The 22,345-nt window shown below is 40.9% G+C and overlaps 1 protein-coding gene and 1 pseudogene across 7 annotated transcripts in view, besides 5 other annotated features; one reads left to right on the top strand and one right to left on the bottom strand.

Annotated features, from left to right (window-relative positions):
- Nucleotides 1-22,345, bottom strand: part of SUZ12 (SUZ12 polycomb repressive complex 2 subunit) — a 64,032-nt gene that overhangs the window by 18,462 nt on the left and 23,225 nt on the right. For 6 of the 7 annotated variants that reach the window (XM_047435704.1, NM_015355.4, NM_001321207.2 and 3 more), the window contains 4 exons: nucleotides 16,381-16,430; nucleotides 9,346-9,431; nucleotides 6,864-7,095; nucleotides 5,963-6,056 (listed from right to left, as the gene is read on the bottom strand). In XM_047435704.1, coding sequence (XP_047291660.1) covers nucleotides 5,963-6,056; nucleotides 6,864-7,095; nucleotides 9,346-9,431; nucleotides 16,381-16,430 — 462 coding nt within the window. Of the gene's footprint in view, nucleotides 1-5,962; nucleotides 6,057-6,863; nucleotides 7,096-9,345; nucleotides 9,432-16,380; nucleotides 16,431-22,345 lie in introns of those variants that run through there. The other variant, XM_047435706.1, reaches the window with a different exon arrangement.
- Nucleotides 1,563-1,815: a non allelic homologous recombination region, noted in NCBI's record as "sub-region BR6', recombines with sub-region BR6 within the SUZ12P1 PRS4 recombination region". NCBI's record gives the evidence for it as "EXISTENCE:nucleotide sequencing assay evidence [ECO:0000219][PMID:22837079]".
- Nucleotides 1,563-3,439: a biological region, named in NCBI's record as "SUZ12 PRS4 recombination region". NCBI's record gives its function as "recombination_partner: LOC108783652".
- Nucleotides 2,171-2,395: a non allelic homologous recombination region, noted in NCBI's record as "sub-region BR5', recombines with sub-region BR5 within the SUZ12P1 PRS4 recombination region". NCBI's record gives the evidence for it as "EXISTENCE:nucleotide sequencing assay evidence [ECO:0000219][PMID:22837079]".
- Nucleotides 3,136-3,210: a non allelic homologous recombination region, noted in NCBI's record as "sub-region R53327', recombines with sub-region R53327 within the SUZ12P1 PRS4 recombination region". NCBI's record gives the evidence for it as "EXISTENCE:nucleotide sequencing assay evidence [ECO:0000219][PMID:22837079]".
- Nucleotides 3,338-3,439: a non allelic homologous recombination region, noted in NCBI's record as "sub-region R268011', recombines with sub-region R268011 within the SUZ12P1 PRS4 recombination region". NCBI's record gives the evidence for it as "EXISTENCE:nucleotide sequencing assay evidence [ECO:0000219][PMID:22837079]".
- On the top strand, nucleotides 18,644-18,772 carry RNA5SP437 (RNA, 5S ribosomal pseudogene 437; annotated as a pseudogene).

The following is a 22,345-nucleotide window of genomic DNA, read 5'->3' as shown; positions in this document are numbered from 1 at the left end:
AGCGATTCTCCTGCCTCAGCCTCCCGAGTAGCTGGGATTACAGGCGCGTGCCACTATGCCCAGCTAATTTTTGTATTTTTAGTAGAGATGGGTTTCAGCATCTTGGCCAGGCTGGTCTTAAACTCCTGCCCTCGTGATCCACCCATCTTGGCCTCCTAAAGTGCTGGGATTACAGGCGTGAACCACCGCGCCCAGCCCAGGCTTTATATTTTTAAAAATAGGATAATAGTGTTACAAACAATGCTTGTCTTAGGGAAACACTAAGAATTCTGTTACCTTTAACTACTGTAATTGTTTGAACTAGAATCCTTTACTTTTATACTTGACCAGTAAACTGATTATTATAATGACGAATCTGGTAACTACGGAATTCTGGGGGCACCTGGCACATATAGGTGCTCAATAAACACTTCATGGAATACTAATTGAATCAAATAATTCAAATATATTCACACAATATAGTTTTAAGGTGTGTGTACATATGTGTCTATGTATAACTTATTTTTTCCATACTTTAAACACTAGTAACCACTACTACTCTAAACACCATTCTTCAACCATGCTCAGTAATTAACTGTATATATCAAGAAACTGGCTTCTCTTCATCACTCTTAGAGAAATTCTATTAGGTAAAAACAGCTGACATTTATTGAGTGTTCACTATGTGCCAGGCACTATTATAAAGATTTTACATGGTTCATTTAATCTTCCCAACAATGCTATGAACTATGTACAATTACTCCACTGCCAGAAGAGAAAACTGAGGCAAGAAAAGGTTAAATAACTTGCCTTAAAATCAAACCGTAAATAGCCAGATCCAGCAAATGAATCCAGGTGTCTGTCTCTAAAGTCTCTTAAAACCAAATGATTGACACTTAAGAATTTTTGTCTTTTCTCTATGCTGTACTACTTAAATTTAGTCAACTTCAATAGTACATCAGCAAAGCCATTCAACTATTTTAAAAACTAATTTATTTACTCAAAGAGGTAATAAATTCATATATTTCTAAATCAAAAAGGAGCTTCCTTATGCTTTTACATAGATACGTACTATTCCATTTTGTGGGTGTACATTTGATACCTACAATCCAATGCACCCTCCTATCTGTAATGTATGTGGAGACTTTTCCCCCACAGCCTGATCAAGTGCTTTATCAAGTTTTTTGGTCTCTGTCAATCTGATAAGTGAAAAAACGCATCTCAGTGTACTTTTAATTCAGATGTTTTGTCGTTTTAATTGTTTAAGAACCATATGTATCTATTTTGGTAAACTTCTTATTGTTTCTTTTGCCCATTCTTCTATTGGGCAGTGGTCTTTTAAAATTAGTATGACCTGTTTACATTCAAGAATGACAGACATCTACCTGAAAGACAAGTTGAAAATAATTTCTCCCCATCTTGTCATTTTTGACTTTGGTTATGGTGGCTTTTTTGTTTTCTGAAGAAGTTTTTGATTTTTATTTTGTTCAACTTTGCATTCTTTTCCTATAAGGCTTTTGAATATTGGTTATTATTTCAAGGAATTAACTGGATTTTTTGGTTTTTTTTTTTGACAGTCGCTGTGTCACCCAGGCTAGAGTGCAGTGACACAATCATAGCTCACTACAGCCTCAGACTCCTGGGCTCAAGAGATCCTCTCACCTTGGTCTTCCAAAGTACTAAGATTACAAGTGTGAGCCACTGCACTCAGCCCTCTGTGAGATTTTAAAAACAATTTTTACACATCTAACATGCAGATTTTGGCTTAAAAATACTATTCTTCTATAAGGAATCAGGACTCCTTGAAGAAATCACAACTTCAGAGCAGAGGTAAGAAAAGAAGAAGGTAGGCCGGGGCGCAGTGGCTCATGCCCGTAATCCCAACAGTTTGGGAGGCTGAGGTGGGAGGATCACCTGAGGTCGGGAGTTCAAGACCAGCCTGACCAACAGGGAGAAACCTTGTCTCTACTAGAAATACAAAATTAGCCAGGCATGGTGGCGCATGCCTTAATCCCAGCTACTCGGGAGGCTGAGGCAGGAGAATCGCTTGAACCCGGGAGGCAGAGGTAGCGGTGAGCTGAGATGGTGCCTTTGCGCTCCAGCCTGGGCAACAGGAGCAAAACTCCGTCTCAAAAAAAAAAAAAAAAAAAAAAAAAAAAAAAAAAAAAGGAGAAGGTGATTCTGGTATATCTTACTATTCTAGAAAATCAGGAAAAAATAGCAGCAACAAAACAGGACACAGAAGCCTACTTAGAAGGGCTCCTCCTGACAAAATATGAGACAATTTGAGCATTAAAATAACAGTATCAATAGATTAAAACTAATTGAATAAATAGAATTTGTTAATCCATACTGATTTTAAAATATCAAAGCTAGGGAAAGGAATGCTCTTCTTTTTAAATTTACATGTAACTTTAAAAAAATTTTTTTTTTCTTTTTAGGAACGAGGTCTTGCTATGTTGCCCAAACTGGTCTCAAACTCCTGGGCTCAAATAGTCTTCCCGCCTTGGACTCCCAAAGTGTTAGGGTTACAGGTATCAGTCACCATGCCTGCCTGTTTCTCTCTCTCTCTCTCTCTCTCTCTCTATACATATATATATATTTTTTAGGGTTAGTCAAGTGAAGCAGTGGGAGCAGAGAACGAATGCTCTTCTTTATATAAAAATGCAAATAAATGTGGAAGAAATGTTAGAAAATTACCATTTTCCAACTGCCAAAGGAATAATTTATTCAAGCAAAAATAATCAATCAATGCTAAAACTATTGGGTGAAAGGCTATGGGAAGAAAATGGATATTTACTCAGCTTCATGTATTAGCATAAGAATTATATGCTGATTTATATAAAAGGGAAAAAAGTACTGTTACAATGGAGAAATATTGTGAACAGCATCTTAACTGAGTGATCAAACCTAATATTACCTTTTGTCTGTGATGTAGTACGTAAAGAACACATCACTCATTAGAATCCCTGCCAAAAATATTTAACCTGAAGCTAATCAAGAGGAAATCACCACAGAAGTCCTAATTGAGATACATTCTGCAAAACTACAGGCCTATACTGGGGGAAAAATGTCACAGAAGGTAGGGAGAAAGGCTAGGGGGACTATTCCAAATTGAAGGAGACTGAAGAACTATGACATCTAGCTATGGAATCGGGGTGGGGACAGGACAAATTATAAAGGACATTATTGAGGTCAACTGGGGAGATAGTATTGTATTTGTATTTTAATTTTCCTCATAAGGGTACGGTGGTTATATCAGAAAATGTCTTCGTTCTTAGGAGATACATGCAAGAGAGTTTATAAATGAGGAATAAAGCAAACTTTCAAATTATTCAGCACAAAAATAAAATATAGCCTCATAAATAAATCAAATGTGGCAAAATGTTAACAACAGATACAATCTAGATGAAGGGTATGTGGATATTAAATGACTTTAGTATTCTTTCAACTTTCCTATCGTTTTGAATTCTTTTTTTTTTTTTTTTTTTTTTGGAGACACAGTCTCGCTGTCACCAGGCTGGAGTGCAGCGGCGCGATCTCAACTCACTGTAACCTCCGCCTCCTGGGTTCAAGCGATTCTCCTGCCTCAGCCTCCCGAGTAGCTGGGACTACAGGCACGCACCACCAGGCCCAGCTAATTTTTGTATTTTTAGTAGAGATGGGGTTTCACCATGTTGGCCAGGACGGTCTCGATCTCTTGACCTCGTGATCCGCCCGCCTCAGCCTCCCAAAGTGCTGGGATTACAGGCGTGAGCCACCATGCCCGGGTGAATATTTTCAAAATAAGCTGCTGTGGGGAAATTCTCCCAGTTTCTTCTTGGCACTTTTTCTTTAAAATAAAAGCATTATCTTTTTCTTACAAGAAATGTGTAAACATATGTGTCAGGTACAGTGATTAAAAAAGAAAATAGAACATACCCCATGCTGCCTAAAATAGAACAATTAACAGCATCGATGAAGTCCAATGCGCCTCATTCTAATTGTTTCCCCCACAGACATGACCACTATTTTCTAGTACATTTATGGTTCTATTGTTTTCCATTTAAATCTTCGATCCACAATAAAATTTCTGACTTTAAAAAGACACTGGCCGGGCACGGTGGCTCACCTGTAATCCCAGCACTTTGGGAGGCTGAGGCAGGTGGATGATGTGAGGTCAGGAGCTCCAGACCAGCCTGGCCAACATGGTGAAACCTCATCTCTACTAAAAATACAAAAATTAGCTGGGCATGGTAGCAGGTGCCTGTAATCCCAGCTATTCAGGAGGCTGAGGCAGGTGAATCGCTTGAACCCAGGAGGCAGAGGTTGCAGTGAGCTGAGATCATGCCACTGAACTCCAGCCTGGGTGACACAGCGAGAGTCCGTCTCAAAAATAAACAAATAAATAAATAAAAAATAAACAATAGGAGGAATGGCCTAGTTACTTTCCCTGGTTCTTTGTCCTATACCTGACAATAAACTGTTAACTACCAGCACGCAGCCTGGTACAAGAAATGACGGCATAGGTTTCTTTCTCCAATCCCAAAAAGAAAAAATGCTGGATTTGCTTCCCAGACATTCTTTCACTGGTGATATTTTCACTAAAATATTTCGTTTCCAAACAGAAATTGCAGAAATATTTAATAAGTCTGTGTTTCTTGCCATCCTGTACCAAATGCACAGAGGTACACAATCATTATACATGATTTTCTTTTCTTTTCTTTTTAAGACAAGAGTCTTGCTCTGTCACCCAGGATGGAGTGCAGTGGTGTGATCTCGGCTCACTGCAACCTCTGCCTCCCAGGTTCAAGCGATTCCCCTGCCTCGGCCTCCTGAGTAGCTGGGATTACAGGCACACGCCACCGTGCCTGGCTAATTTTTGTATTTTTAGTAGAGACAGGGTTTCGCCATCTTGGCCAGGCTGGTCTCGAACTCCTGACCTCGTGATCCACCCACTGCAGCCTCCCAAAGAGCTGGGATTACAGGCGTGAGCCACTGCGCCCGGCCTTCTTTCTTTTTTTAAAAAAGATGGGGTCTCGCCTAGGCATGGTGGCTCACGCCTGTAATCCCAGCACTTTGGGAGGCCAAGGCAGGCGGATCACGAGATGAGGAGACCGACACCATTCTGGCTAACACGGTGAAACCCGTCTCTACTGAAAATACAAAAAATTAGCTGGGCGTGGTGGCACGCACCTGTAGTCCCAGCTACTCCAGAGGCTGAAGCAGGAGACTTGCTCAAACCCAGGTGGCAGAGGGGTTGCAGTGAGCAGAGATTGCGCCACTGCACTCCTGCCTGGGTGATAGAGTGAGACACTATTCTAAAAAAAAAAAAAAAAAAAAAAGATGGGATCTCACTTTGTCACTCAGGCCAGAGTACAGTGGCATGATCATAGCTCATTGCTGCCTTGAACTCCTGGGCTCAAACAATCCTCCCACCTTAGCCTCCTATGTAGCTGGAACTACAGGTACATACCACCATGACCAGCTCCTCTTCCTTAATTTTTAATAAACACATAACCCCAAGATTTACGTAGGGCCCAGTCCATTTAAGTCTCTTCTCAAATACTACCTCCTCCCAGAGGATATCTCTCTAAAACAGTAACCATTTATTCTCTATTTTTCTTCACAACACTCATCACTAAGTGACATTAGTTGATTTTTTGGGTGGTGGTCTGTTTCCTCCACTAAAAGTTAAGCTCCATGGTGAAGGCAGGGATTTTGTTGCCTTCTTAATGTCTAGAACAGTGTCTGGCAAAGAGTAGACACTCAGAAAATATTCGCCAAATAAGTAAGTTTAACTGAGCTATCTATCCGAATAGTTCCTTAATTATTGTTTTCTATAAAACAGACAAAAATTCAGTGTTTGCAAATTTGTTTTTTCATCCGTAAGAATAAAAAGAAACAAAGGCAATGAAATAATCAATATAAATAATTATATTCTGCTTCAGAATGAAAACATTTCCAGAACATTGTGGGAGCCTCACTTGTTCATCAACATTACCTGTTTTTATCAAATACTGTCATTTGTGCAACAAATGTCTTTTCCCCATCCTCACGATTTCGTTTTCTTCTGGCTGGAAGCTCTTCATTGACATCTAAATTTAACAAACATTTCTCATAAATCAAATATTAGAACAAAAATGTGTTATGATATATGGTCCCTTAACATAAAACATGCTACATTTATCCCAAATGAGGTACGAATTACACTAAAGTTGCAATAATATACAGACCACATGTTTCCAATTTTGCATTTTTACTATATGTTCTTTTTAACAATCACAACATTAACCCCACATCTTTGCAAATGCTAATGTTTCTGTTTAGAATTATCTTTGCTAGGCAAACTCCTTCTCACTCGTGGTAACTCCCAAAAACTTCAAACAATACTTCGAGTCAAAGATTATTTTTTCCAACGTGTTTCTCTGCTGAACTTCACATATACCTGTATTATGGCACTCATCATTTTGCTGCAATGATATATTTCATGTCTATTTCCCTACACTAGGTTGTGAGACTTTGGAGGATAGGACTGAATGTTTTAATCATCTTCGATTAAATTAAATCATCCCCAGCACCTATGTGTTTGTTGAATGAATACCTCAAAGATGAATTCACAATTGTTGGAAGAAAAGAGGGATGGGCAGGGGGATAAATACACAACAAGTATAATAAAATGTTCATTGTTGAATCTAAGAGGTAAGTAGATAGGTGTTCACTATAAAATACTTCTCATTGTCCTTTATGTTTGAAAATTTGCACAACAAAATGTTGAGGTGGAGGTGAATTCACTGTTTGCTTTAAGACTCAGCACCATGACTATCATGAAGGAACACTGGTACAATCATTTTCAATGACCATCTTAGTCTCCAGTGATAAAATCTAGTAAAAAAAAAAATTACCAATATTTTCATTGGTTTCTCCATTAATCATTCCATTAAACTCTCTTCTTCCTGGACGAGTCACTCTAAATAGCAACGAGTAAGACTTCACCATATGGCTGTTACTAGGTTCAAATTCATTACTGGAAACTGCAAGGGACGGGAAATTTCCGGGTTTTGTTTGATTGAGGTCAGGATTCAAAGGCACCTGCTTTTTACCTGTGGGAACTTGCCTTATTGGACAACTTACATCCTGCAAAGGTAAACATTATTAATTTATATTTATTTGTATATAAGCAATAAGAATTATAATAAAACTTCTAATCACAGCTATAGGAAACACGGGAGATAGGCCATGATCACCAAATGGAATGTTAAAATTCTAACCATAGTTCTGCAAACTGTGAAGCAAAAATAAACATTTGAAATACCTATATTCCAAATATTAAAGCAATTGAGGTTTTCTCCAACATAATGAAATTATGATACAGTATACCTAATATTTAGCTAACAGTGATCTGAAACAGTTGTATATTAGAAATTTAGAACTAAAAGCATGCTAAATCTCTCTGGTAAGGCTTTTTAGCAACAACAAAAAAACCATGCTAAAATGTTAAACTCATGTACTTTTATCAAATCTCTTAAATGTTCTATTTTAACATGACAGTGACTAATAGGACCATTAGAAATAAAAAAAAATGACTAATAATCCCATGGTCAACAACTACATTATGAAACAGTAAATCCATATAGTTAAAATATGTTGTTTAACAGAAAGAATCATCATCCTTAAAAAAACAAAAACAAAACTGGTTTTATCTACCAATGATCATATTCTGAGTAATATTCTGTTATTGTATGATTAGTTACACTGAAAATGCATACTAGAAAAACTGGAAGGATCAGAAGACTTTTATGACAGTATCTTACAGCAGCTACTTCTTTTAAATAAATAGAATACATACAGTCTAAAAAAATTTCTATTTTATAAGACTATAAAGTGAAAACTATGAATTCTCACCCACCCCCCCAGGTCTTACGCTCCGGAGATGACTAATACTAGCAGTTGGCTGTGTATATTCTTCCAGGAAAATGATTACCCCGATACATTTTTTTGAACATAAGAATGACTATATTTATATTCATATCTTATTCTAAGTAATGTATCTTGGATTTTCATATCATCACTTGTTGTAATGTGTATGGAGGTTAGGTAGGAGTAAGAAGTGATAAAGGCTGGAGTGCAGTTGTGCGATCTCGGCTCGCTGCAAGCTCCGCCTCCCGGGTTCATACCATTCTCCTGCCTCAGCCTCCTGAGTAGCTGGCACTACAGGTGCCCATCACCACGCCTGGCTAATTTTTTATATTTTTAGCAGAGACGAGATTTCACCGTGTTAGCCACTCGATCTCCTGACCTCGTGATCTGCCCACCTTGGCCTCTCAAAGTGCTGGGATTACAGGCGTGAGCCACCAGCACCTGGCAAGGAGTGATATTTCCTAACTTTACATACATTTTTTTTTTTTCTTGAGACAGTTTCACTCTGTCGCACAGGCTGGAGCTCAGTGGTGCAATCATGGCTCACTGCAGCCTCGACTTACTGGGCTCAAGCAATCCTCCCGAGTAGCTGGGACTACAGGCACAGGCCATCATGCCTAGCTCATTTTTGTATTTTTGGTAGAGACAGGGTTTCACCATGTTGCCCAGGATGCTTAACTCCTGGGTTCAAGCAATCTGCCCACTTCTGCCTCCCAAAGTGCTGGGATTATAGGTGTGAGCTACGGCAACCGGCCTTTACATAAACTTTCAAAAATAAAGTTCCACTGCTGCCTCCATGGTGCCTTAGTCTACTCCCTCCCAGTGATTGAGGCCCTTATGGCCTATGGTCTTGGAAGAATATCAGCACTGGGACCCTGGACCCAGACCAGCTCCTACTCCTCTTGAAACACTCGAGGACTTGAGGCAACTAAAGGTACATATGTTGGCTTTGATCGGTTGACCAGGAAACATCTTAACACTTGTTTCTATGGTGAAATAACTTCACCTTATAAAAATTTGAAGCAATGTACTAATAAGTGAATGGCTAATAACGCTGACAACAAAATTTCTTTGCCTGAGAGCAGTGTTACAAAGGATAATCTTGTGGAAAAAACTCTCTCTTAGCCCTTACCTAAAATGTCAATGGGTACAAACAGCTAAGAAATACGCTAACAGATTGAAATGGTAGAACAGCAACTGAATTTATGCCAGATGCTAAAACATAGCTTCTCCATTTCCAGACTCCTATGAGAAAGTTTTGTACAGACACTTATTAAAAGACTAGAAAAACTACACAGATATGCGAGTTGGCAAAAGAGGTTATCAGTTTTATAATTAGGCCATCAACACATTTCTTAAGCTTTCAAAATTTAAAACTAAGCTTTAAAATACAATATATATGCATAAAGATGTCCAATTAAGCAAATTATTCCATTTAATCTACCAATATCATTTTGTTGACATTACCTTTCTTTTTTTGTGGCAAACTTTCACAAGCAGGACTTCCAGGGTAACAGAATTTTGTTCATTTTCTGAGTTTGGTGATGGCTTATCTAAATAGAAAATCAGTATTTTAAAATATATTTAAAAAATATATGAACAAGGTATTCATTTTGCTAACAAGTCAGGGAACTTCAAACAGAGATTTCCCACAGTAAGACTTCTCAAAAGTTCACTCATTCTTTTTTCCTCAAATCAGTTCCAAACTTACAGCAAACTCTTTAAAAGCCTTTATATATAGTGTAAATAAACCACTCACAAAACAAATATAATTACCGTCCTATATGCTGTAATTTTTTTTTCCATTAGATATAGGTTTTGCTCTGTTGCCCAAGGTACAGTGCAGTGGCACAATCACAGCTCACTGCAATCACAAGCTCCTGGGATCAAGTGATCCTCACACATCAGCACGGCAGCCTCCTGAGTACCTGGGATTACAGGCGTGAGCCACCATGCCCAGGTTGTAAGTATAAAAAATATTCACTGGCCAGGCATAGTGGCTCATGCCTGTAATCCCAACACTTTGGGAGGCCAAGGCAAGAATATCACTTAAGGCCAAGAGTTCAAGACCAGCCTGCGCAACACAGAAACCTCGTCTCTACAAAATGTGAAAAAATTAGCTGGGTGTGGTGGGTGTCATGTGCCTGTAGTCCTAGCTACCTCAGAGGCTAGGTGGAAGGATCTCTTGAGCCAAGGAGTTCAAGGCTGCAGTGAGCTATGATCCTGTCACTGCCCTCTAGTCTGGGCGAAGGAGTGAGATCCTGTCTCTAAAACACATCTACACATTTCTATTTATATATATATATATATATATACACACACAAACACACATACATACACATATATATATATACACATATATATACACATACATACATATATATACACATATATATATTTCCTAATTCCTTTTCGAGACAGAGACTCGTTCTGTCAACCAGGTTGGAGTGCAGTAGGGCGATCTTGGTTCACTGCAACTTCTGCCTCCCGGGTTAAAGTGATCCTCCCACCTCAGCTTCCCAAGTATCTGGGACTACAGGTGCGCACCAGGACACCCAGCTGATTTTTTTAATTTTAAGTAGAGATGGGGTTTCACCATGTTGGCTAGGCTGGTCTTGAACTCCTGACCTCAAGTGATCCACCTGCCTTGGCCTCCCAAAATGCTGGGATTACAGGTGTGAGCCACCACACCCGGCCATATTTACTGAATATTTCTAATTTGAAGATTTAATATTTTTGTTTGTTTTTCAGACAAGGGTCTGGCTATGTTGCCCAGGCTGGTCTCAAACTTCTGGGCTCAAGTGATTCTCCCATTTTAAGCCTCCTAAGTAGCTGAGACTACAGGCACATGCAACTGGGCCGGCTTGAAGATTTAACATTTATGATAATACACTGCTAGTCAAAAGTAATTTTGACAAATACAGTTAAAGCTTCTTGGCAGAAAGCATAAATGAAAACAGTTGCAGGAGGGCCAGGTGTGGTGGCTCACGCCTATAATCGCAGCACTTAGGGAGGCCGAGGCAGGTGGATCACCTGAGGCCGGGAGTTTGAGACCAGCCTGACCAACACGGAGAAACCCCGTCTCTACTAAAAATACAACATCAGCCAGGCATGGTGGTGCATGCCTGTAATCTCAGCTACTTGGGAGGCTGAGGCAGAACTGCTTGAACCAGGGGTTGGGGAGCAGAGGTTGCAGTAAGCTGAGATCACACCATTGCACTCCAGCCTGGGCAACAAGAGCGAAACTCCATCTCCAAAAAAAAAAAAAAAAAAAAAAGTTGCAGGAGACAACCACATTCAAAATAAGCATCTTCAATTTTTTTCTTCTCCTAAAATCTACTAGAAAAAGTATTAAGATAACATTTGAATTAAATCAGTTACCATTATACATGTTTCATTATGAATGCACAGAGACAACTAAACTAAAAAGTTCTTGATCTGACCAAGACTTGTGGCCAAAAGGATAAAAAATGGATTTCAAAAAACATTAAACATTATAAAACGTAGAGACAGAGCTATCAGAGCTATTTTTAGATGCTTTCCCCAGAATTTCTCTACAGTTTAAATGGGATAACAAAAATCAAGATATTATTTACTATCTAGAATATCTTGGCTTACAAAAAATTTAGGGGTGTTAATTTTGAATACCATAGTCTATATTCTCTATGTAAATTAACACAGGCTTTACAAATTAAGGTTCTAGAGTAGTCCTCCATAACTTGTTTTTAAAGTCCCAAAGGTATTAACAGTTCATAACTGAATATTTAATCACTAATTCATCAAATAGCTTCAATAACATCCAGAACTATTATAATAGATGAATCCATGAACACACAAAAAAAATTTTTTGTTCTAAGGCACTGGGCAACACATTTTTTCTTTATTTTTTTTTTTTGAGAGAGAGAGTCTTGCTCTGTTGCCCAGGCTAGAGTGCAATGGAATGTTCTTGACTCACTGCAACCTCCGCCTCCTGGGTTAAAGCAGTTCTCCCTGCCTCAGCCTCCCGAGTAGCTGGGACTACAGACTACAGGCACAAGCCACCAAGCCTGGGTAATTTTTTTTTTTCTTTTCTTGAGTCAGCCTCACTCGGTTGTCCAGGCTGGAATGCAGTGGCACAATCTCGGCTCCCTGCAGCCTGCACCTCCCAGGTTCAAGCAATTCTCATGATTCAATCTCCAGAGTAGCTGGGATTATGGGGATGAAACACCATTCCCAGCTAATTTGGTTATTTTCAGTAGAGACGGGGCTTCACCATGTTGGCCAGGCTGGTCTCAAACTCCCTACCTCAGGTGATCTACCTGCCTCGGCCTCCCAAAGTGCTGGGATTACAGGCGTGAGCCATTGCGCCTGGCCGGCAACACTTTTTTTCTACTTAAAAACATTCTTATTGGGGGTGTGTGTGTAAAACACATTTGATCAGTTTCTTCGGAAGTTGCATCCAGGATAAAAACACCTTAATACAGCAAAAAATAGTCCAATGTCTAAATGCAGTAACAAAAATATTTGCCGAACAATACTCATCATGAAAATAGTACCCAAATAATCTTTGTGTATTCATTCTAAGAAGCAGTTTCAAGTAGTAATTGCCAAACAAAAGTTTTCATTTAAAAACAAGAGGCCGGATGCAGTGGCTCATGCCTGTAATCCTAGCCCTTTGGGAGGCTGAGGTGAGAGGATCGCTTGAGCCCGGGAGGCTGCAATGAAGCAAGACTGCTCACTGCACTCCAGCATGAGTGACAGAGCAAGACTCTGTCTAAAAAATAATTAATAGTAAGAAAATAAGAAGAAAAAATCACATTTTAAGAATTAAAAATTTTTTTTTCCTTGTTTTGAGAGAGGGTCCCACTATGTTGCCCAGACTCTATTCAAACTCCTGGGCTCAAGCAAACCTCCCAGCTCAGCCTCCTCAGTAGATGGAAATACAGGCAAGCATCACTGCTCCTGGTACATTTTAGAGAACTTGATGTTGGTTTTCTATCCTGGTTTCTTAAAAATATTATTGAAAACAAAAAAGGTACAAATAAACCTTGGATGGAAAAGAAACACAATATATCTACTTCCAACTTCTACTAGTTTCAAAGTTAAAATAGAATAGTTATTTTCAACATAGGCGTGGTGGCTCACGCCTATAATCCTAGCACTTTGGGAGGCCGAGGTGGGTGAATCACTTGAGGCCAGGAGTTTGAGTCCAGACTGGCAAACATGGTGAAATGAAATCCTGTCTCCATTAAAAATATAAAAATTAGGGGCTGGGCTCGGTGGCTCATGCCTACTGAAATCCCAGCACTTTGGGAGGCCGAGGTGGGCAAATCACCTGAGATCGGGAGTTCAAGAGACCAACCTGACCAACGTGGAGAAACCCCATCTCTACTAAAAATACAAAAAATTAGCGGGGCATGGTGGTGCATGCCTGTAATACCAGCTACTCTGGGAGGCTGAGGCAACAGAATTGCTTGAACCCGGGAGGTAGAGGTTGTGGTGAGCCGAGATTGCGCCATTGCACTCCAGCCTGGGCAACCAGAGTGAAACTCCATCTCAGAAAAAGAAGAAAAAAAATTAGCTTGTGTGGTGGCACCCGCCTGTAATCCCAGATACTTGGGAGGTGGAGGCATGAGAATCACTTGAACCTGGAGGCAGAGGCTGCAGTGATCTGAGATCAAACTACTACACTCCAGCCTAGGTGACAGAGGAATTATTTTCTGGAAACAGAGATATCAACAGAGTTCACTATCTCTTTTACTTCAATATCAAGAAAAATAAAAACAAAGTAAATCTGAGCAATTGTTGAACTTTATATATTTTGTCATGAAGATAGGAAAAAAGCTTAATATGACTACTTTCCAAAAATTTCAGTGATGGATAAACTATGTGTTCTACACAGGTCCCTGAGAACAAAGGGCTAATGAATGTATAAAATTCAAATTATAAGTTTCTGAAGAATTAAAGTCTAGACACGTCAGAAGTACCACAGAAAACAAAATACGATGACTAGAAATAAGGACTCTAAGCAGACCATTACAAATAATTTAAGGAAAACAAAAACCGTAATGCTACCCAGGTTACTTCTATATAAAAAATAGACCAGATCTAAGGTAAAAACTAGAAGTTACATTAGCTGCTAATACAAATACGAGATTTCAAATTTCTTACATAAAAACCCTAACTAGGGCCAGTCTCAGTGGCTCACACCTGTAATCCCCGCACTTTGGGAGACTGAGGTGAGAGGATCACTTGAGACCAGGAGTTTGAGACCAGCCTGGGAAATGTAGTGAGATTCCATCTTAACAAAAAAAATTTTTTTTAATTAGCCAGGCATGGTGGGAACGCCTGTAGTTCCAGCTACTCAGGAGGCTGAGGCAGGAGGATCACTTGAGCCCAGGAGTTGATCACACCACTGCACTCCAGCCTGGGTGACACGAGCAAGACCCTGTCTAAACAAACAAACAACCCCCAAAGAGTCATTAAAAAATGGTTATATTAGAGCATTTTGACAATTGGCCAATTGGCAAGGTTGTCTTTTTGTCTTTTTTAGACAGTGTCTCACTCTGTCACTCAGGCTGGAGTACAGTGGTGTGATCTTGGCTCACTGCAGCCTCAACCTCCAAGACTCAAGCAATCCTCCCACCTCAGCCTCCTGAGTAGCTGAGACTACAGAATAGCTGGGACTACAGGCATGTGCCACTGTGCCCAGTTAATCTTTTTTTACTTCTTACAGACAGGTTCTCCCTATGTTGCCCAGGCAAGCCTCAAGCTATTCTTCCATCTCAGCCTCCCAAGGTGTTGACGTTATAGCTGTGAGCCACCACGCCCAGTCTAATATTTGGGATTTTTTGGAGACAAGGTCTCACTCTGTTGCCCAGCCTGGAGTAGAGTTGTGCAATCATAGCTCACTGTAACCTTGAATTCCTGAGCTTACGCCATCCTGCCATCTTGGACTTCCAAGTACCTAGAACTACAGGACATACCACCATACCTGGCTAATTTTTGTAGAGATGGGGTCTGTGTTGCCCAGGCTGGTCTTGAAGTCCTGGCCTCAAGTCATCTTCCCACCTCAGCCTCCCAAAATGCTGAGATTACAGACATGAGCCACCAGGCCAGGACTCATTTTCTTTTTCTTTTTTTTTAGACAGAGTCTCGCTCTGTCACCAGGCTGGAGTGCCACTGGTGACACTACAGGTGTGCACCACGACACCCAGCTAGTTTTTTTGTATTTTAGTAGAGACGGGGTTTCACCATGTTAGCCAGGATAGTCTCGATCTCCTGACCTTGTGATCCACCCGCCTCAGCCTCCCAAAGTGCTGGGATTACAGGCGTGAGCCACCGTGCCCGGCCCACCAGGACTCATTTTCAATCTTTGTTTCTTACTAAACGATACCAAGACAACCAACCTGGCATGTTTCTAATAATGGTTTTATTCCATTGCATAATAAAAAGATATGCCATATACACAGACTTATGATGGATAAGCTGATAAGTGATTTTCCCTTTTTTTTTTTTTTTGAGATGGAGTCTCGCTCTGTCGCCCAGGCTGGAGTGCAGTAACGCAATCTCAGCTCATTGCAACCTCCGACTCTCAGGTTCAAGTGATTCTTCTGCCTAAGTCTCCCAAGTAACTGGGACTACAGGCACCCACCACCACGCCTGGCTAATGTTTATATTTTTAGTAGAGATGGGGTTTCATCATATTGGCCAGCTGAACTCCTGAACTCCTGAACATCCTGAACTCCTGACCTCATGATACACCCGCCTCAGCCTCCCAAAATGTTGGGATTACAGGCGTGAGCCACTGCGCCTGGCCGTATTTTTCCATTTTTAAAACAACTCTAATTCTTTCCAGCATGCTTTGAGCTTTTACTGGAGTAATATACCATATAATTTCCTTTGAATAATATCTAAAATATTAATATATGCCATTGGTAATAGTGGTTATTTCAGTTGTTTTACTGTGTTTTTTTAAAACATGATACAGTATCATTAATTCAAAATGTTTATGCATAAAAGGTTCTACTGAGGAGATTCTTTACCTATTGAAGTTCTAAGACAATTTGTTAAAATCTTCATCATTAGCCAGGCGTGGTGGCTCACGCCCCCTTGGGAGGCCAAGGCGGGTGGATCACGAGGTCAGGAGTTCAAGACCAGCCTGGCCAGCATGGTGAGACCCTGTCTCTACTAAAAATACAAAAAATTAGCCAGGCATGGGGCACGTGCCTGTAATCCCAGCTACTCAGGAGGCTGAGGCAGGAGAATCGCTTGAACCCGGGAGGTGGAGGCTGCAGTCAGCCAAGATCATAACATTGCACTCCAGCCTTCACTCTGCACCCCCATCCACCAAAAACAAATTTCATCATTAGCCTTCATACCTTAAAGTTCAAAAACATCAGAACCAACATATTTTCCATTAAACTTAATTTTATAAATTTACACTCAGAAGCCCCACTTTTTTTACATTCACAAAGGTATCTTGCTATTAAAATGCCACTTTATTTACTTTTAAATACATACCATTTTTGTGGAAGAAACCAGTAAACGTAAGCTGCAAATGAGCTGACAAGCTAAAAAAAAAAAAAAGGAAATATTTTATCATTGTAATGCTCTGTAGTAAAATAACCTAGACTTTAAAATATAACATTGAAATCAAAGTTACTTCAACCAATTTATAAATATTTGTACTCAACTGTTATTCAGGCCCATGACTCTATGCTTTCCCTGTTAAATATGACATCCAAAAGTGTGTCTATACACCTAACAAAAAATAAACAACAAAAAACCCCTCACAACTCACAAAAAGTAAGAACAAAACCACAAAAACACCAGACCAAGGCAGAAAAAAATCAGACTACCAAGTTGGAGGCCAGGTAATTTACTGTGTTTTAGTGTTCTACCTATAAAATGACAGCAGGTATGCCTTCCTATCTTTAAAAAGGAATTTTGGAGGGTTTTTGGAATTCTTTTTTTGTTTTGTTTTAATGACGCTTTAGTCAATGACTTCATCAAAAGGAAATTTTGAAAAGCGTAGCTAAATCCATGCAAAAAAATTTGAATATTTTGAAGCTATGGAAATTCAACCTTCCCAATAAATGATACAGAACCATTACTTTATACTTCAAATAGCAATGAAATACACAATTACAAATCTGGTATAGATCTATAATTTACTGTTTCAATATATCATTTTCACTGTTAGTTTTAGAAGCTATGGAAAAGCAAAAGCAAGCATGAACTAGAACTAGTGCTCCTTCTATTTTCACAAACATCTATTAACAATAGAAAAAAACAATAAGCATGGGATAAAATAAACAGAAGCATCAATAAGCTTTTGAAGTACCTTTAAACTGCAAAACACAATACAGTTGTTGATCAGGAGACATTCATAACTCTCCTGAGCATAGTTTCCATAGTGTGACATGTACAGACACCAGATTATGGAGGGCTATACAGAACAGATGGTGGGGAAAGGAAAGCAGTACTGATCCCTTACATAAGGCATTTACTAATGAAATAGTTGCTGGGCACTAAGGACTAGTAAAGGGCATATATATATATTTTTTTTTTAAATGATGGTGACAATCTAGGCATTTTTATAGTCAGATGGGAACAGTTACAGAAAGACATTGTGGCAAGAGAGTACTAAGGAACAAGTAATGACTGGAAATAAGGACATATTATGAAGAGGTTGCCCTGTAAATTTGACCAGGACTCCTCTTTTTCTTTTTTTTGAGATGAAGTTTCGCTCTTCTCGCCCAGGTTGGAGTGCAATGGCGCAATCTTGGCTCACTACAACCTCCGCCTCCCGAGTTCAAGCGATTCTCCTGCCTCAGCCTCCCAAGTAGCTGGGATTATAGGTGTGAGCCACCGAGCCCGACTGGATTCCTCTTTTTCTAAGATAGAGAAATAAGAGGCAAGTAAGAAAGACATTTCCATGGAAGATGGGGGGATATCTCCATCTACTTAGTGAAGTAGGCCATGAAACTGTCTGCTAAAAAAACTACAGTGTGGGCCGGGTGCAGTGCTTCACGTCTGTAATCCTGGCACTTTGGGAGGCCGAGGCAGGGGATCACCAGGTCAGGAGTTCGAGACCAGCCTGGCCAATATGGTGAAACCCAGTCTCTACTAAAAATACAAAAATTAGCTGGGTATGGTGGCACATGGCTGTAGTCTCAGCTACTCAGGAGGCCGAGGCAGGAGAATCGCTTGAACCTAGGAGGCAGAGGTTACAGTGAGCCGAGATTGCGCCATTGCACTCCAGCCTGGGTGACAGGGGGAGACTCAGTCTCAAAAAAAAAAACCTACAGAGTTGGGATTTTGACAGGCATTTCTAGAACAGTAGTACAGAAAGTATGTTCTAGAAAAGTATGTTCTAGAAAGTATGCTAGGGGCTGGGTGCGGTGGCTCACAACTGTAATCCCAGCATTTTGGGAGGCCAAGACAGGAGGATCAAGAGATCAGAAGATGAAGACTATCCTGGCTAACACGGTGAAACCCAATCTCTACTAAAAATACAAATATTAGCCAGGCATGGTGTCGTGTGCCTGTAGTCCCAGCTACTCGGGAGGCAGAGGCAGGAGAATCACTTGAGCCCAGGAGGCAGAGGTTGCAGTCAGCCGAGATTGCACCACTGCACTCCAGCCTGGGCAACAGAGCAAGACTCCGCCTCAAAAAAACAAAAAACAAACAACAAAAAAGTATGCTATCAGTAGAGGACAAAATTATTATGGAAGAGTAGAACTATAAGGGTCCAAGCAGAGTTAGAAAGCAGAGGGCCGGTGCCTATGGCCATACCACCCCGAACGCGCCAAATCTCAAAAGCTAAGCAGGGTTGGGCCTGGTTGGTACTTGGATGGGAGAAAGCAAAAATATAAAGTTAAAAACTAAGAATGGCCGGGCACGGTGGCTCACGCCTGTAATCCCAGCACTTTGGGAGGCCAAGGCGGGTGGATCATGAGATCAGGAGTTCAAGACCAGCCTGGCCAAGATGGTGAAACCCCGTCTCTACTAAAAATACAAAAAAAAATGCCAGGCGTGGTGGCAGGCGCCTGTAATCCCAGCTACTCGGGAGGCTGAGGCAGGAGAATTGCTTGAACTCAAAGGTCAGAGGAATCACTTGAACTCGGAGGGCGGAGGTGGCAGTGACCAAGATCGCACCACTGCACTCCAGCATGGGCGACAGAGTGAGACTCTGTCTCAAAAAACAAAACAAAACAAAAAAAATACCTAAGAACCACCACCACAACTTAAGTATCAGCTGGGCGTGGTGGCTCATGCCTGTAATCCTAGCACTTTGGGAGATGAGGCGGGATGGGAGATGAGGCGGGTGGATCACGAGGTCAGGAGATCAAGAACCATCCTTGCTAACACGGTGAAACCCAATCTCTACTAAAAATACAAAATTAGCCAGGCGTTGTGGCATGCGCCTGTAGTCCCAGCTACTCAGGAGGCTGAGGCAGGAGAATCACTTGAACCCAGGAGGTGGAGGCTGCAGTGAGCCAAGATTGTGCCACTGCACTCCAGCCTGGGCGACAGAGCAAGACTGTCTCAAAAAATAATAATAATAAATAATCGTATACAACAGGAGTCTTAAAAACCTATTCTGTATAAGCAATTCATATATTATAAACATTTTTACATGAATCAGATTTCTACGTGCTATTTTACTAAAAAGACAGCATTATTCTAGAAGAAGTTCCATAAATACTACCTTACATAGCAGAATTAGCTAAAACCCAAAACATAAGTGAAAGAGGAATATTCTACAATTCTCACATTAGAAGATAATCCACCAGTCACAACAAATCTATCCTACTCTTTGTTGCTTCAATTAAAACTACATACTAAGACCAGATTAACTTTCATAAGAATCTACTTTTTATCTATCATTCCTTTCTCCACATCTACTGAGACCCCACCTACCAAATCTTTTGTCTAACTGCTGAAATGGTTCTCATTTCCTGTTCTACGAAAGCCTTACATATGAAATAGAATTGAATTTATAGAGTCAGAAAATCCAAGTTTGAATTCTGGTGCCACTTACTCGCTGCGGTCTGTTATCTATAAAATGAGGATATTTTCTCTCACAGAGAGTGTGAGGCTTAAGATTTTGTTTTTTGCTTTCAGACAGGGTCTCGTTGTGTCACCCAGACTGGTATACAGTGGCACAATCTAGGCTCACTGCAACCTCCAATTTCCAGGCTCAAACGATTCTCCCACCTCAGCCTCCAAGAGTAGCTGAGACTATAGGCATGCACCATCATGCCTGGCTAATTTTTACATGTTTGTGGAGTCAGGATTTTGCCATGTTACCCAGGCTGGTCTCAAACTCCTGAGATCAAGAGATCCACCTGCCTCAGCCTCCCAAAGTGCTGGGATTACAGGTGTGAGCCACTGCGCCTGGCCTGTTTAAGGTTTTAATTCAATTATTTTTTTTTTCTTTTAGAGACAGGGTCTCGCTATGTTGCCCAGGCTGGTAATGAACTCCTGGGTGCAAGTGATCATCCCACCTCAGCCTCCCCAAGTGCTGCGATTATAGGCATGAGCCACTGTGCCTGGTCAGGCTTGCAGAAAATAATAAAGTATCCAGCAAAATACTCTCTCCCTCTTCTACAAAGACCCTAAACCCAATCAATCAAGAGCTAAATGACCACTTTATCCCTTTACAAGCACTCTTATTTACCACTTTTTAGTCACTATTTTTCCATATACATCTTTTTATTAGTGTCCCTAGCACCTAGCAGTGTCTTACAGAAAGTGACCCAACAAATTTTTTTCATAAGATAATGTCCTCCTAGAGTAATACAAATTTAAAGGTCAGGAATGATGGCCCATTACACTGCAGTACTATTAGTATTATTTACATTACTTTTCTGAGAAGTGTGAGGGTAAGCTCCAACTCTGAAATGCCAGAAAGATCTTACATTTATTTACCCCAGAGAATATTTTAAATCAGTGTTACTTAAAATGTTGTCTACAAACTGAGGTCATTAAGAAAAATGTTACCATTCTACAACTCAAGAAATTGAGACTACTACTAACAACACACTGAAAATTAACAAATAAACAAAATGATCTTTCACCACAGGTGATTTGAGACAGTTTTAAATGGTACATTATACCTTACATAGGATAGCCTGTATAACCAGCTTTTTTTGTTTTGTTTTGTTTTTGAGACGGAGTCTTACTGTAGCCCAGGCTGGAGTGCAGTGGTGCGATCTCAGCTCACCACAACCTCCCACCTGGGTTCAAGTGATTCTCCTGCCTCAGTCTCTGAGTAGCTGGGATTACAGGTGTCCGCCACCATGCCAGGTTAATTTTCCTGTTTTTAGTAGAGATGAGGTTTCACCACGTTGGCCAGGCTGGTCTAGAACTCCTGACCTCAGGTGATCCACCCACCTCGGCCTCCCAGTGCTGAGATTACAGGTGTGAGTACTATGCCCAGCCAACCAGCCATTATCATACTAGTGTTTCTTTGTGAGAAAGAATTTTTTTTTTTTTTGAGACGGAGTCTCGCTCTGTCACCCAGGCTGGAGTTCAATGGCGTGATCTCGGCTCACTGTAACTTCTGCCTCCCAGGGTTCAAGCCATTCTCCTGCCTCAGCCTCCTGAATAGCTGGGAGTCAGGCACATGCTGCCATGCCCAGTTTATTTTTTGTATTTTTTAGTGGAGAGAGGTTTCGTCATATTGCCCAGGCTGGTCTCAAACTCCTGAGCTCAGGCAATCCACCTGCCTCAGCCTCCCAACGTGCTAGGATTACAGGTGTGAGCCACCATGCCCGGACTTTGAGAAAGAATTCTAAATTTCAATTAACCAATTTTAAAAGACAACATTGGGGCCAGGCACGGTGACTCACACCTATAACCCCAGCACTTTGGGAAGGAGGCAGGGGGAATCACTTGAGGTCAGGAGTTGGAGACCAGCCTGGCCAACATGGTGAAACCTTGTCTCTACTAAAAATACAAAAAATTAGCCAGGCGTGGTGACACCCGCGTGTAATCCCAGTTACTCGGGAGGCTGAAGCAGAAGAACAGCTTGAACCTGGGAGGCGGACGTTGCAGTGAGCCAAGATCACACCACTGCACTCCAGCCTAGGTGACAGAGCAAGTCTCAAAAATAAATAAATAAATAATAAATAAAGGTGACATTGGGAATGTGACTTGCTATGCATGATTTCCCCTTCCTCACCTAAAAGTAAACACTCTGGCTGGGCGCAGTGGCTCACGCCTGTAATCCCAGCACTTTGGGAGGCCGAGGCGGGCAGATCACAAGGTCAGGAGTTCGAGACCAGCCTGACCAACGTGGTGAAACCTCATCTCTACTAAAAACACATAAATTAGCTGGCCGTGGTGGCAGGCACCTGTAATCCCAGCTACTCAGGAGGCTGAGGCAGGAGAATCGCTTAAACCTGGGAGGCGGAGGTTGCAGTGAGCCGAGATTGCATCACTGCACTCCAACCTGGGCAACAGAGCGAGACCCCGT

Source organism: Homo sapiens, chromosome 17 (genome assembly GCF_000001405.40).
Source record: "Homo sapiens chromosome 17, GRCh38.p14 Primary Assembly".
Lineage (NCBI taxonomy): Eukaryota > Metazoa > Chordata > Mammalia > Primates > Hominidae > Homo > Homo sapiens.
This window is presented reverse-complemented; position numbering and strand designations above follow the sequence as displayed.